The 15,913-nt window shown below is 40.1% G+C and overlaps 1 long non-coding RNA gene and 1 pseudogene across 1 annotated transcript in view; one reads left to right on the top strand and one right to left on the bottom strand.

Annotated features, from left to right (window-relative positions):
- Positions 1–15,913, bottom strand: part of SYS1-DBNDD2 (SYS1-DBNDD2 readthrough (NMD candidate)) — a 47,442-nt gene that overhangs the window by 16,123 nt on the left and 15,406 nt on the right. The window lies entirely within an intron of this gene.
- NDUFB4P10 (NADH:ubiquinone oxidoreductase subunit B4 pseudogene 10) lies at positions 5,783–6,141 on the top strand (annotated as a pseudogene).

Below are 15,913 nucleotides of genomic sequence, written 5' to 3'. Positions count from 1 at the left end.
TCGGCTGACCAAACAGCTCTCAGAGGAGAGGAGACCCAAAGTGGGTAGCTCCTATCTGCAGGCAGGTAGTCCCAACGAGTCCATGAATCTGGCCGGGTCAGGAAAAAGCACCATCTGATTGGCCAAAAGGCATCAAGGAAGTTCTCACTTTAGGTAGTGGACTCCACACAGAACTGGAGGCCTGGCTGTCAGGCTTCAGGTCATCCCTGGCTTGAAGGTGGGGTTTCACCAAGGACCCACCCCTTCCCACCTAGGAACCTGTCTGCCTCCTGCCACCATTAGTTTACCTATGTGACCCGCAGGATATGCCAGAAATGATGGTATGTCACTTCTAAAATTCAAATTAAAAAAAAAAAGACTACAGCTTCTGTCTTTAGTGTGTACTCTATTTTTGGGGTCACTCACTCTGGGAGAAGCAAGCTGCCATTTTGTCAACAGCCACTATAGAGAGGCCCGCATGGCAAGGAAAGGAAGCTTCCGGCCAAGAGCCCATGAAGGCTGAGGCCTGCCAGCAACCACATGATTGAGTATGGAAATTGATAAAATTGCCCTAGTAAAATCTTGGGATAATTACAGCCCTGGCCAGCAGTTTGACTGAAACCTCATGGGAAACTTAGGCAGAACCACTCAGTTAAACCACTCCTGGATTCCTGATACTCAAGCACTTTGAGATAGTAAATACTTCTTGTTTTAAGATGCTAAATTCTGGGATAGTTTATTATGCAGCAATAGGTAACATATTAAAATTCTGTTCATTGGAACATATAAAGAAAAAAATTTTTAAAGGGGAAAAGAAAGATTTTGGTACTGGGTAAAGTACTGCTGTAACAGTACTCTAATATGCAGGAGTGGCATTAGAATTGGACTTTGAGAAGAGTATAGTAAAAACCTAAAGCACCTTGAAGAAGCTGTTAAAGAAGCCTCGGCCCTTAGATAAGGTGCAGTGAGGGTATGCAGGAAAGTGAAGTAAATACTGTTTTTCTGTTTTTTTGTTTTTTGGGGTTTTTTTTGTTGTTTTTTTGTTTTGTTTTTGACAGAGTGTTGCTCTTGTTGATCTCAGCTCACTGCAACTTCTGCCTCCCAGGTTCAGGTGATTCTCCTGCCTCAGCCTCCCAAGTAGCTGGGATTACAGGTGCATGCCATCACACCCGGCTTTTTTTTAGTAGAGGTGGGGTTTCACCATGTTGTTTAGACTGGTCCAGAACTCCTGACCTCAGGTGATCCACCTGCCTCGGCCTCCCAAAGTGCTGGGATTACAGGCATGAGCCACCATACCCAGACAAGTGAAGTAAATATTATTGGAAACTATACTGTGACACAAAAATTAGCAACCCTGTTGCCTTCAATAAAGTGGAAAACAGAAAATGTGCCTAATGAATTTGATGATCTAAGTAAAGCAATTTCCAAGCAAAATGTTAAAGGCGCCACCTGCTTTCTTCTTGCTGCCTATAGTGAAAGGGAGGAGCAAAGGGATAAACTAAAGCAAGAGCTCTCCAGTGAGAGTGACACTGCCTCCCAAGGGATATTTGGCAATGTCTGGAGGCATTTTTAGATGTCAAAGCTGGGGAGGTTGCTACTGCCATCTAGTTGGCAGAGGCCAAGGATGCTGTTAAACATCCTACAATGTATAAGGCAGCCCCCCTCAAACCACCCCAATCCCCCCACCAAACACACACACATCAAATAATTATCCTAGCTGAAATATCAATAGGGCTCGAGTTGAAAAACGCTGAACTTTTTAAAAGGAAAGAATGTTAAACATGAAAGAGCTAAGACTTCATGATTTAGAAAATGCTTATCCTCTCCAAATAGCAGATGATAGTAAAATTTAAAAATGGCTTCCTAGCAAAACTCAAATACAGGGCACTGCCAGGAAAGCCTGGTCCAAATATGAAACTGAGAATATTAATGTACAGCCTGGCCAACATGGTAAAAGCCCATCTCTACTAAAAATACAAAAAATTAGCTGGGCGTGGTGGCACATGCCTATAATTCCAGCTACTGCGGAGGCAGGATAATCACTTGAAACTGGGAGGCGGAGGTTGCAGTGAGCCGAGATCGCACCACTGCACTCCAGCCTGGGCGACAGAGCAAGACCCTGTCTCAAAAAAAAAAAAAAAAAAAAAAAAAAAAAAGAATATTAATGTAAAATATTTTGTTAACATCTCAGAAAGACTTAAGGCAGTGCCTCAGAATACTATTCAGTCATATTTAAAGAGTCTAAACAAATTATGGATATGTCTCACAGATCCTCCAAATCAAAACAATAGTGATTCTGGAAATCTTACGGCTGATTGTTGTCTCTTAGCCATCTCAGCCGAAGCCTAGAGTAGAGAAGGGCTTATTGCAAAGAAATCTGTGGGCATGTCTTTTGTCTAACAGAGTAATATTGAATAAGATTCAAAGTGACCCACAAGTTTTAAAAAGGATTATATATCCAAAAACATCACCTTAGATTTGCAGGGATAAAAAGAGTACAAATAAAAAGAGGATTTCAGCCAGGCAGGATGGCTCATGCCTATAATCCCAGCACTTTGGGAGGCCAACGTGGGCAGATCACCTGCTGGATCAGGTGATCTAGAGATGAGAGAGAGAGAGAGAGAACAAAGCTTCAGGAACATGGAAGATTATAACAAAAGATTTAACATTTGTGTCATGGGAGTCCTAGGTGAAGAGAAAAAAAAAAGGTGGAGCTAAAAATGTGTTCAAAGAAATAAAGCTGAAAGTGTCCCAAATTTGATGAAAGACATACACACACGGATTCAAGAAGCTGACTAAACCCCAAGCATGATAAACCAAAGAAATCCATACAAGACACACCATAAACAAATTTCTGAAAACTAAAGTCTTGAAAGCAGTTGCAGAGAAATTAACCTTACCAATAATACAGCAACAATTTAAATTGCAGCAGATTTCTCATCAGAAACTGTGAAAGCCAGAAAGAAGTGGCACAATATGTTTAAGTACTGAAAGAAAAAACCGTCAACCCAGAATGCTAAGCAAAGTGAAAAAATCCTTCAGGTATGAAAGTCAAGACATTCTCAAATGAAGGAAAAACTAACATAATTTGTTAACTGAAGAACTATAGTAAGTCCTTAATGTCATCAATAGTTTCTTGGAAACTGCAACTTTAACCAAAATGATGTATAATGAAAGCAAGTTTATCGTAGACTAATTGATATTAACAAGGTAAGTCCATACAGCATACTTCTGGTCACAAAAACAATACCACGCTTCTAAATAAATGCCCAGACACATCTAGTATTAAACATTAAAATAAATGTGAGCTATACATACATTTAAGAAAGATTAATAAAACAGGGAAGTTCATTATTTACTCACCTATTGGTGATGTAATTAAAGTGAGGTCATGCTGGATTAGTATAAGCAGTGAGTGACAGCAGTCATCATGGTGGTGAGTTAAACCAAGGAATAAATCTTTGCAGAGCAAAAATTGTAAGGAGTATCTCCTACCACCATGCAGTTCAAAAACAATAATAAATATGGCAGGCTGGCTGAGTGCTCTTATACCAAATTATTTACTGTTATGCATTTGTATGATTATTATATACTTTACAAATTTTTATTTTACAATAATTTGTATTCACTTATTCTTCATTTCCAACCTGCTTATTCCATTTCAGGGTCCTGGGTGGCTGAATCTTATTCTGGCAGCTCAGGGTGCAAGGCACCCTGGAAAGGATGCCATTCCATCACAGAATGCGTGCACGCACACACACACACACCCCTCACTCATACTTGGATAATTTAGATAATTTAGATACACCAATTAACCTAATGTGCACATCTCTGGGATGTGGGAGGAAATTGGAGTGCCCAGAGAAAACCCACACAGACATGACGAGAATGTGCAAACTCTACACAGACAGTGGCCATGGCTGGGAATCAGTTGTTGTTTTTTTTTCTCATCAACATTATAAAGAAATGACGTTAAACAAAATAACATTATTTGAGGACCTGCTGTACCGTGAAAGAATGGCTAAAGGAAGTTCTCCAAACATAAAGGAAATGATGAAAGAAGAAAACCCGAAACATCAGGAGTGAAGAAAGAACAATGGAAATAATAAAAATATGGGTAAATATGATGGGCTATCCTTCTTCACTTGCATTTTCTAAATTATGTTTGATGGCTAAAACAGAAATTATATAACATGGTCTGATGTGGATTCAATTTATGTAATGAAGATATTTAAGACAATTACATTATGAAAGGAGAAGGGTAAAGGGACCTAAATAGAGGTCAGGCTTCTATCCCTCACTCAAAGTGGCAAAAGTGTCGATACCAGTAGATGGTCATAGATTATGTTATGTATGATGTAATATAGAAAGCAGCCACTAAAAAACCTACACAAAGAGATACACTTAAAAAAAACACTTCACCATAGATAAAAAAAATGGAATTCTAAAAACTGTTTAACCCATAGGAAGAGTAGAGAAATAAAAGAGAAGAATGAAAAGCAGAGGGAATGAAAAGAAAACAATCAAATGGCAGGCTTAAACCCTAACAAATAATTGCATTAACTGCCGGTAGTCTATAAATATACTTTATAACTCTGAGACTGGCAAAACGGAGTGAAAAAAATGACCCAAAATAAGCTCTCTACAAGAAACTCACTTCAAATATGACATAGGTAGACTGAACATAAAAGGATGAAAAAAGATACACCATACAAAGATTAATTAAAAGAAAGCAGAGTTAGCAATTTCAATATCAGATGAAATAGACTGCTGAGCAAAGAAAATCACCAGGGCCAAAAAAAGATATTAAATGGGTCAAATCACAAAGAAGACATAGCAATCATACATGTGTACATACCAAACAACAGATCTTAAAAATCTATGAAACAAAAATTGGTAGAACTGAAAAAAAAAATAGACATCTACTATTAAAGTTGGAGACTTCAACACATCTCTCTCAACACTTGATAGAAATACTAGACAGAAGGGTGGGCATGGTGGCTCACACCTGTAATCCCAACATTTTGGGAGGCCAAGGCGGGTGGATCACCTAAGGTCAGGAGTTCAAGACCAGCCTGGCCAACATGGTGAAACCCTGTCTCTACTAAATATAAAAATTAGCCGGGTGTGGTGGCGGGCGCCTGTAATCCCAGCTACTCGGGAGGCTAAGGCAGGAGAATTGCTTGAACCCGGGAGGCGGAGGCTGCAGTGAGCCGAGATTGTGCCACTGCACTCCACCCTGGACGACAGAGCAAGACTCTGTCTCAAAAAAAAAAAAAAAGAAACACTAGACAGGAAAGCAGCAAGGATGTATAAGAACTTTAAAAAGCCATCAATCAAAAGAATCTAATTAATATTTAGACAATACTTCACATAACAATAACAAGATTCACATTCTTTTGAAATGCTTATGGAACACTCACCAAGACTATATCTTAAGTCACAGAATAAAAGTCAACTAAAAAAAATTTTTTTAAAGAGACAGCATCTTGCTCTATTGCCCAGGCCGGAGTGCAGTGGTGCCGATCATGGCTTACTGCAGCCTTCAACTCCTATCCTCAAGTGATCCTCCTACCGTGGCATCCAAGAGACTTGGGATTACAGGCATGAACCACTGCTCCCGGCCTCAAGGAATTTTTGAAAATCAAAATCGCACAGCATGTGTTCTGAGATCACAATGAAATCAAACTAGAAATCAATAACAAAAAGATAATAGGTAAATCTCCAAACATATGGAAATTAAACACCTCATTTCTGAATAATACATGAGTCAAGAGGCGCAGTTGTGCACTGGGTCACCAAGATGACTCTCCCAAACTATACTCCATCACACCTGGCCCCTCTGCCCATGACCCTCAATCCAGCTGAATATGACATACCTCCACAAACTGCAACCTGAGCATTTGGCCATAAATCTGGGTTTAAACAGGGGTACTTAATCAGCACAATGACCCTAACCAATGATGATTCATCGAGGGCTCATCAAACATCTTGGCTTAATTTGTTGGACTTGTGTAAGATCAGCACATGTCTATCCCAATTTCAGACCCATTATCAAATACTCATCCAGTAGCTCTATGTGGAATCGGATCCGGTAGGGATAGGAAAGAAAAGCTTATCCAGGAAGAAAAATTGGATCAAACATTTAACATCTCATATTAAGTCTAGCAATGACGATTTTATGTATTCCTGCTTAAATACACTTCTATTAATCCAAAAATCCCACCACATTTCTAAATAATACATGTGGGCTGGACGCAGTGGCTCACACCTGTAATCTCAATACTTTAGGAGGCCAAGGTGGGTGGATCACCTGAGGTCAGGTGTTCGAGACCAGCGTGGCCAAAATGGTGAAACCCCGCCTCTACTAAAAGTACAAAATTAGACGGGTGTGGTAGCATGTGCCTGTAATCCTAGCTACTCGGGAGGCTGAGGCAGGAGAATCACTTGAACTCAGGAGGCGGAGGTTGCAGTGATCCAAGATCACGCCACTGCACTCCAGCCTGGGCAACAGAATGAGACTCCATCTCAAAAACAAACAAACAAACAAACAAATTTCTAATATTGGTAATTTGTATCTTTCTTTTTCTAAAAAAAATTGGTTAACCTGGCTAGAGATCTGTTAATTTTATTGATAATTCAAAGAGACAGCTTTTGGTTTCACTGATTTTCTCTATCATCTTCTGGTTTTCAATTTCATTGATTTCTGCTTTGATTTTTATTATTTCCTTCTACTTACTTTAAGCTTAAATTGCTCTTATTTCTCTAGTTTCTTCTTTCTGAAGCTTAGATTGACTTTAGATCTTTCTTCTTCTCTAATATATGCATTTAATGCTATAAATTTTCCTCTAAGCATGGCTTTTGCTGCATCCCACAAATTTGGTAAACTATATTTTTCATTTTAATTTAGTTAAAAATATTTTTAAGTTTCTCTTGAGACTTTTTTTTGATCCATGTGCTACCTACTAGTCTAGTGTGTTGTTTATTCTAGAAATACCTTGGGGACTTTCCAGCTCTCTCTGTTATGGGTTTCTAGTTTAATTCCATTGTGGTTTGAGAACATACTTTTTATGAGTCTATCATTTTACATTTGTTCCAGTGTGTTTCGTGGCCCAGAATGTACTATCTCTTGAATACTCCATGTGAGCTAGATATGAATGTGTATTCTATTATTATTGTATTAGAATGTATATTCTATTATTGTTGGATGGAGTGCTCTATAAATGCCAGTAGATCAAGTTGATTGATGGTGGTATTCAGATAAAATATGTACTTACTGATTTTCTGCCTACTTGATTTATCAATTATTGAAAGAGGGTCGTTGAAGTCTTCAACTATAATGGGATTTGTCTATTTCTCCTTGGAGTTCTACCAGTTTTTGCCTCATATATTTTGGTATTCCATTGTTAGTGACATATACTATATGTGTCATATATCCACTCAAGATCAAAAATAAGGCAAGAATGTCTGTTCCCACCACTTTCATTCAATGTAGTGCTGGAAGTCTTAGCTAGTACAATAAGGGAAGAAAAGGAAATAAAAGACATACAAATTTAGAAAGAAAATACTTGCAAATCACACATCTTACACAGGACTCATATCTAGAATATATAAAGAACTTTCAAAACTCAAAAGTAAAAATACAGACAAACAGGTTGGGCACAGTGGCTCACACCTGTGCCCAGTGCTTTGGAAGCCGAGGTGGGAAGATGGCTTGAGGCCAGGAGAATTCAAAAGCAGCCTGGGCAACACAGCAAGACCCTGTCTTGAAAGAAAAAAAATTAGCTGGGCATGGTGGCAAGCGCCGGTAGTCCTAGCTACTTGGTAGGATCACTTGGGTCCAGGATTTCAAGGCTGCAGTGAGCTATGATCATGCCACTGCACTCTAACCTGGGTGACAGAGCAAGACTCTTTTTCTAGAACAAACATCCAAACAGTCTAATTAGAAAATGGGCAAAGGAAGTGAACAGATATTTCACCAAAGAGGATACAGAGATGGCAGATAAGCATATTAAAATGTTTGTTCATTTGTTTGTTTGTTTTTGAGACAGAGTCTTGCTCTGTTGCCCAGGCTAGAGTGCAGAGGCATGATCTTGGCTCCCTGCAACCTCCACCTCCTGGGTTCAAGCAATTCTCCTCCCTCAGCCTCCCAAGTAGCTGGGATTACAGGTGCATGCCACCACACCCGGCTAATTTTTGTATTTTTAGTAGAGAGGGGGTTTCACCATGTTGGCCAGGCTGGTCTCGAACTCCTGACTTCAAGTGATCCACCCGCCTCAGCCTCCCAAAGTGCTGGGATTATAGGCATGAACCACTGCACCCGGCCTAAAATGTATTAAACTTCAATAGCCATTAGGGAAATGTAAATTAAAACTATGGTAAGATATCATTACACACCTATTAAAACAGCTAAAATAAAATAGTGACCATTCTAAAAGCAAGTCAAAATGCAGAGAAGGTCTATCAATGTATGAACATTGCTGATGTTCTGGAAAATTGTTTGGCAGCATTCATACTCCTTGAAGGTTATTCCAGAGAAATGAAAATTATGTGTGGAGACAAAAACCTGCATAATAGCCCTAAATTGGAAACAAACATTCTTCAATGGGTGAATGGCCAAACTGTGTTATATGTAATAGCACTCAGCAAAAAAAGGGAAAAACTACTGATACAACTTAAGTGGATATAAAGGGCATTATATGGAAAAGCCAGTACAAAAGCCAATCTTGAAAGGTTACATACTATATCATTCCATGTATATAATATTTTCAAAATGACAAAATTATAGAGATGAAGTGGGACTTTTAGGGATTGGGGTGAGAGGAAGGAGGGGTGACTGTAGCTATGAATAGCATGAGGAAGCCTTGGGATAACAGAACAGTTCTATACTTGATTGTGATGGTGGTTACCTGAATTTATACATGGTTCTGATATTATACCAAAGGTATGTAAGATTTTCCCACCCATTGGAGGAAAATGAGCAAAGGGTACACAAAACCTCTATGTATATTTTTTGAAACTTTCTGTGATTTTTAAAGTACTATTGATACATGCAATAACTTGGATCTCAAGAGCATTATGCTGAGTGAAAAAAGCCAACTTCAAAAGGTCACACACTGTATGATTCCACTCATACAACATTTTTAATACCTTCACTTGCTTTTATTCATATACTATTCTTGAAATGACAACAATTATAGAGTAGATAATAAATTAGTGGTTTCAGGCTGGGCACGGTGGCTCACACCTGTAATCCCAGCACTTTGGGAGGCTGAGGCGGGTGGATCACCTGAGGTTGGGAGATCAAGACCATCCTGGCTAACATGGTGAAACCCCACCTCCACTAAAAATACAAAAGATTAGCCAGGCATGGTGGCACACGCCTGTAGTCCCCACTACTCAGGGGGCTGAGGCAGGAGAATCACTTGAACCTGGGAGGCGGAGGTTGCAGTGAACCGAGATTGTGCCACTGCACTCCAGCCTGGGCAACAGAGAGAGACTCCATCTCAAAAACAAAAACAAAAACAAAAAAACAAAAAACAAATTAGTGGTTTCCAGGGATTAGGTACTGAATGGAGGAGGGAGGTATAGATGGCACAAGAGAGATCCTTATGGTGATGAAACACACAAATGAGTGCATGTAAAACTGGTACAATCTGAACACGGTTTGTATATTGTACTACTGCCCATTTTATGCTTTTGATATTGTACTAGCTTTGTCCAGTGTTACCTCTGGAGGAAACTGGGAGAAAGGTACACAGGACCTTTCTATTTTTGCAACATCTTTGACTCTATAATCATTTCAAATTTTTAAAAAATCTTAAAAAGTAAAAAGAGGCCTTTGCATCCCAAAATTCTACAGGCAGGAAGCAGATTGAGAAAAAAACTCAACTGCAAATGCACAGAAAAAGGAAGGAATGACTCAGAACAATGAATCCAAAGGTGAATCAAAATCCTAGTAGGATTTTATGTAGAAATCAGTAAGTTGATTTTAAAATTCAAAGGAGAGAGGTAGTCTTTTCAAAAAAATCATGTTGGGGCTGGGCATGGTGGCTCACACGATGGGAGGCTGAGGCAGGCAGATCACTTGAGGTCAGGAGTTCGAGACCAGCCGGGTAACATGGTGAAGCTCTGTCTCTACTAAAAATATAAAAATTAGCCAGCTGTGTTGGCACACATCTGTAATCCCAGCTACTTGGGAGGCTGAGGCAGGAGAATTACTTGAACCCAGGAGGCGGAGGATGCAGTGAGCTAAGAGTGCAACACTGCACTCTACCCTGGGCAACAGAGAGAGACTCTGTCTCTGAACAAAACAAAACAAAATCCTGTTGGAATAATTGGATATCTATAAGCAAAAGAAGAACCTTAATCCACACCTTAGACTATATACAAGTTAACTAAAAAATAGATCAAATATCTAAATTTAAAAAACTAAAACTATAAAATGTTTAAAAGAAAATATAGGCATAAGCCTCTGTGACTTCAGGTTAGGCAAATATTTCTTAGATATGACACCAAAAGCATAGCCCATTTAAAAAAAGTGATAGTGGCCAGGTGTGGTGGCTCATGCCTGTAATCCCAGCACTTTGGGAGGCCAAGGCAGGTGGATCACGAGGTCAGGAAATCGAGACCATCCTGGCTAACATGGTGAAACCCCGTCTCTACTAAAAATACAAAAAATTAGCTGGGTGTGGTGGTGGGCGCCTGTAATCCCAGCTACTCAGGAGGCTGAGGCAGGAGAATGGCATGAACCCAGGAGATGGAGCTGGCAGTGAGCCAAGAGAGCGCCACTGCACTCCAGCCTGGGTGACAGAGCAAGACTCCATCTCAAAAAAAAAAAAAAAAAAGTGATTAAAGTGATTGGACTTCATCAAAATTAAGAATCTGTTCTTAAATAGATAGTTAAGAAAACGAAAAGATAAACCACAGGCTAGTGGAAAATACTGGCAAGTCATATATCTGATAAAGAGATCCTGAATTAGTGAAGAACACTCAACACAATTATATTTAAAAGAAACAACCTAAAAATGGGCAAAAGACTTGAACAAAAACTTCATCAAAAAAGACAGATGGCAAATAAATACATGAAAATATGTTCAACATTATTCGTCATTAGGGAAATGCAAACTAACACTACTATAAGATATGATGACATACCTACTAGAGTGGCTAAAAACAAAACAAACAAATAAAAATCTAACAGTACCAAATACTGCCAAGAATGTGAGTCAGCTAGACCTTGAATATATTGCTGGTGGAAATATAAAATGGTACAGCCACTTTGGAAAATTCTGGCAGTATCTTTTAAAGTTAAACATATAATTACCATATGATCCAGTAATCCCACTCCTAAGTATGTATCCAAGTGAAATAAAAACTTGTATTCCCACAAAAACCTGTACACAAATGTATTTAGTAACTTTATTCATAATCACTGAAAACCAGAAACTAGCCCAGATGTCCTTTAATGATTACACATACAAACTGTGGCATATTTATAGAATGAAATACTACCTAACAATGAAAAAAACCCAAATTATTGACATACCCAACATGTGCAAATCTTAAGTGAAAGAAATACAGATTCAAAGGGCTGCATACCGTATGATTCCACCTATATGGTGTTTTGGAAAAGGCAAAGCTATAAAGACTGAAAACACACATCAGTTTGTTGCCAGGGCTGGGAGTGGGAAGAGGAGTTAACTACAAAGAGGTGGCTTGAGGGAACTTAGGGGGGTTATGAAGCCATTCCATATATTGACTGTGGTATTCTACACTAGTATGCATTTGTCAAAACTTAAAGAACTGTATACTAAAAAAGGTAAATTTTACTGTATATAAAATATATCCCAGTAAACCTAACTAAAGAAATTAAAGAACAAAGTATGAGAGGAAATAAAACAAAAGAGTGGAACTCCCACCCATTAAGATGGCTACTATCAAAGAAACAGAAAATACCAAGTGTTGGCAAGGATATAGGGAAACTGGAATCCTTGTACATGGTTGGTGGGGATGTAAAATGGTATAGCCACTGCGAAAAACAATATGGTGGTTCCTCAAAACATTAAAAAGGGAATTACCATATGATTCGGCAGTTCCACAATTCCACTTCTAGGTATATACACAAAAGCTGAAAGCAAGGCCTTGAAGAGATGTTTGTATATCTTTGTTCACAGCAGCATTATTCACAATAGCTAACAGGCAGAAGAAACTCAAATGTCCATCGATGAATGAACAGAGAAATAAAATGTGGCCTATACATACAATGGAATATTATTCAGCCTTAAAAAGAAATTCTTTTTTTTTTTTTCTGAGACAGAGTGCTGTTCTTTTGCCCAGGCTGGGGTGAAGTAGCACAATCTTGGCTCACTGCAACCTCCACCCTCCAAGTTCAAGTGATTCTCCTGCCTCAGCCTCCCAAGTAGCTGGGATTATAGGTGCCCGTCACCATGCCTGGCTATTTTTGGTACTTTTAGTAGAGATGGGGCTTCACCGTGTTGGCCAGGCTGGTCTCGAACTCCTGACCTCAGGTGATCCACCTGCCTCGGTCTCCCAAAGTGCTAGGATTACAGGCATGAGCCACCGTGCCCGGACAAGAGAAGGAAATTCTGACACATGCTACAACATGGAAGACATGTTAAGTGAAATAAGGCAGTCACAAAAAAAAGACAAATATTGTATTAGTCCACTTATATGAGGTTCCTAGAGTAGTCAAATTTATAGGGACAGGAAGTAGAACAATGGCTGCCACGGGCTGGGGGAGGTAAAAATGGGCAGTTATTATTTAATGGAATACAGAGATCCAATTCCATAGGATAAAAAAAGTTTAAAGATGGATATCCATGATGGTTGTACAAAGAGAAGGTACTTAATGTCACCCAACTACTTTTTTAAATGGTTAGGGCTGAGTGCGATGGCTCATGCCCATAATCCCAGCACTTTGGGAGGCCGAGGTGGGCAGATCACTTGAGGTCAGGAGTTTGAAACCAGCCTGGCCAACGTGGTGAAACCCTGTCTCTACTAATAATACAAAAATTAGCTGGGCGTGGTGATGTGTGCCTGTAGTCCCAGCTACTGGTGAGGCTGAGGCACGAGAATCACTTGAATGCAGGAGGTGAAGGTTGTGGTGAGCCAAGATTGCGCCACTGCACTCCAGCCTGGGCGACAGAGTGAAACTATATCTCAAAAACAAAAACAAAAATGGTTAGAAGGTAAATTTTGTGTTATCCATATCTTATTATGCCATATTTTTTTTTTAAAAAAAGAGTGGAGGTTTTCATTCAAGAGTCTTGGATTTAGTCCACAAGGCTTACCAGCTGTGTGTCATTGGGTAGGTCTCTTTACCCACTTCTCCAGTTTTCACCCCTGCCACTCTTGGCTACTGCTTTCTAATCTAGCAACATCCAATGTACAACATAATTCCATTCCACACTCATATTCTTTAAGTTCCCTCTTTTGAGAATGCTCTGCCCACCTCCCTCGACCTGCCCCATACCGCTATGCTTGGCCAACATCTACTCATCCTTCATTCCTCCTCACCATCTCTAGGAAGATCCCCTGACATCCTCAGGCTGGGTTGGGAGGCTCCACCTCTGTGCTCCTACAACCCTCAGTATTACCCGTATCATGCTATTTATTTCATTTTTCAAAAAATACTTTTTGGGCACCCATTGTCCACCAGGCACTGTTCTAGGATCTGGTGGCTTATCAATGAATAAAACGGACACAAATCCCTGCCCTTGAGGAGTCTACCTTCTGGGGTACCTATCCCCTTGGCCTGTGAACTCAGAGGCATGCTCTGCCTATAATGTTGCTGTCCCTTAGTGCCTAGCACACAGTGATTCCCCAGCCCTGGAAGCTCAGGAGTTGAGTAGTGAGTATAGGTGATTCTGATACAGCCCACCAGGCACCAGGGCCTCAGAGCAGCATTGTTCAGTGAAGTCCAGTTGATCAGAGCTGAAATTGTGTGCAAGGAGGGGTATGTCTGAGCAGGCAGAGCAGCCAAGGAGTATGGGGGTAGACAGGAGAGAGAGAGGGTGCACCCTCTGTGTCTTCCTTGCCAAATTACCACATTGCTTTCTTTCCTAGGCCACAGCAGCAGTTTAACCCACTACCTAACCTTCACTTGAATAAGAAAGGATATTTATATGTGAGAAGCTGTCCCACAGCCTAGGTAGGGTTGGCCCCTCACCCCTCCGTTCAGAGCTAAGCACCCACCCCCCGTGCATGTACATCTCTCCCCACTAGAAGTGGAATGGTGTGGAGTGGGTCCCACATTTGATTGGTTATCTGACTGGCCTGCTGAATGGGGTGGTGCCCACAAAAATGTTTTTCACAAGCTCTTCATACTATTCTGATGCAGCCAGCTGGGCACCAGGGATTCAGGGCAGCCAGCGCCCTTTACAGCCTGTTGTGATCTGCCTAACCCACCACGACTCCCTCTCTGCCTCATCTTCTCCCACCACCATTCATTCTCCTCTTCCCTCTCTCTCTCAGGTGTCTGCTCAAATCTCATCTTATTGGTGAATCTTTCCTAGACCACCTTTTTAATATACCAAACCCTCTACCTCTGCCCTCCCTGTTCCCTTTACCCTGGTTGCTGTTCTCCAGGCACTTATTTCCATCTGATGTAGCATTGGCGTGCTGGGGCTAACTCATAAGGGCTCACAAGTCTACTGTTACACTTCTAGGAATTCTGCAGGCTGGTTGTTAGGCACGGCCATCATTAAAATGTAATTGATAGCAACTTCCAATTAAATAAGTGATATTAAAAACATAGGGTGAAAAATGCTTAAACTTGTCACTTTCTATTTTTTACTACCTTTTACTATTATCTATGTTCTTAGGATTCTTTATATCTGTATATCTGTAGAGTAGAAATATATCATATATGAATCATATGTAGATCTGAAAAAAGACCCCCCAAAAACAACAAAAAAAGAGAAAACATAAGCAAGTGTCCTGCCCATAGCTATTCGATTGTAAATAACAAAAAGAATCTGAGAAATATATCTCCAGTATTCAAAAACTATGGTCTAATTCAGCAAATAGGTCAATGAAATCATTGATAAATGAGTTAAATTTCAATATCTCTGTTGTTTCACTTTTTCACCTTCTTCTTACTGTTTAGTGTAAATGAAAATACAAACATTAATGTTGGTATTATACTTGTTTATCCATTACAACCATAGGTTGGCTATAAATGGAGGGGTTAGGCAAAATCCAAGAAAAGCATACTATAAGAAGCAACTCACTAATAGAAGTTACAATAAAGAGTATTATAGGATTCTATTATTTGTTGATTTCTATCAGTAAAATTTATAATACAAACACATATACATTTTGCTTCAGAGAGCCAATTATTAAACATTTACAAGTACACACACTGTTTCCCCTCCACTAGAATGTAAGCTTGAGGGCAAGAATTTTCTGTTATTCTAGCACTTAGAAAAAGCACCTGGCAAGGCCAGGCGCGCTGACTCATGCCTGTAATCCCAGCACTGTGGGAGGTGGAGGTGGGCGGATCACAAAGTCAAGAGATCGAGACCATCCTTGCTAACATGGTGAAACCCCATCTCTACTAAAAATACAAAAATTAGCCGGACGTGGTGGCGGGTGCCTGTAGTCTCAGCTACTTGGGAGGCTGAGGCAGGAAAATCGCTTGAACCCAGGAGGCGGAGGTTGCAGGGAGCCAAGATCTCACCACTGCACTCCAGCCTGGCGACAGAGTGAGACTCTGTCTCAAAAAACAAAAAACAAAAAAAGAGAAAGAAAAGAAAAAGCACCTGGCATGTAGCAGGCGCCCAGTCAAAACAGGCGACATGACTGAATGGATGAGCATGGTTTGGGAATCCCTGGTTTCATGGGTTGACTATCAGACCTTGGTTAGGTTTCCAGCCCACTATGATCTAGCTGGGCTAGATCTAGTGTGGCC

The sequence above is a fragment of the Homo sapiens genome, chromosome 20, assembly GCF_000001405.40.
Source record: "Homo sapiens chromosome 20, GRCh38.p14 Primary Assembly".
Taxonomy (NCBI): domain Eukaryota; kingdom Metazoa; phylum Chordata; class Mammalia; order Primates; family Hominidae; genus Homo; species Homo sapiens.
Note: the sequence above shows the minus strand (reverse complement) of the source record. Positions and strands in the feature narration are given on the sequence as shown.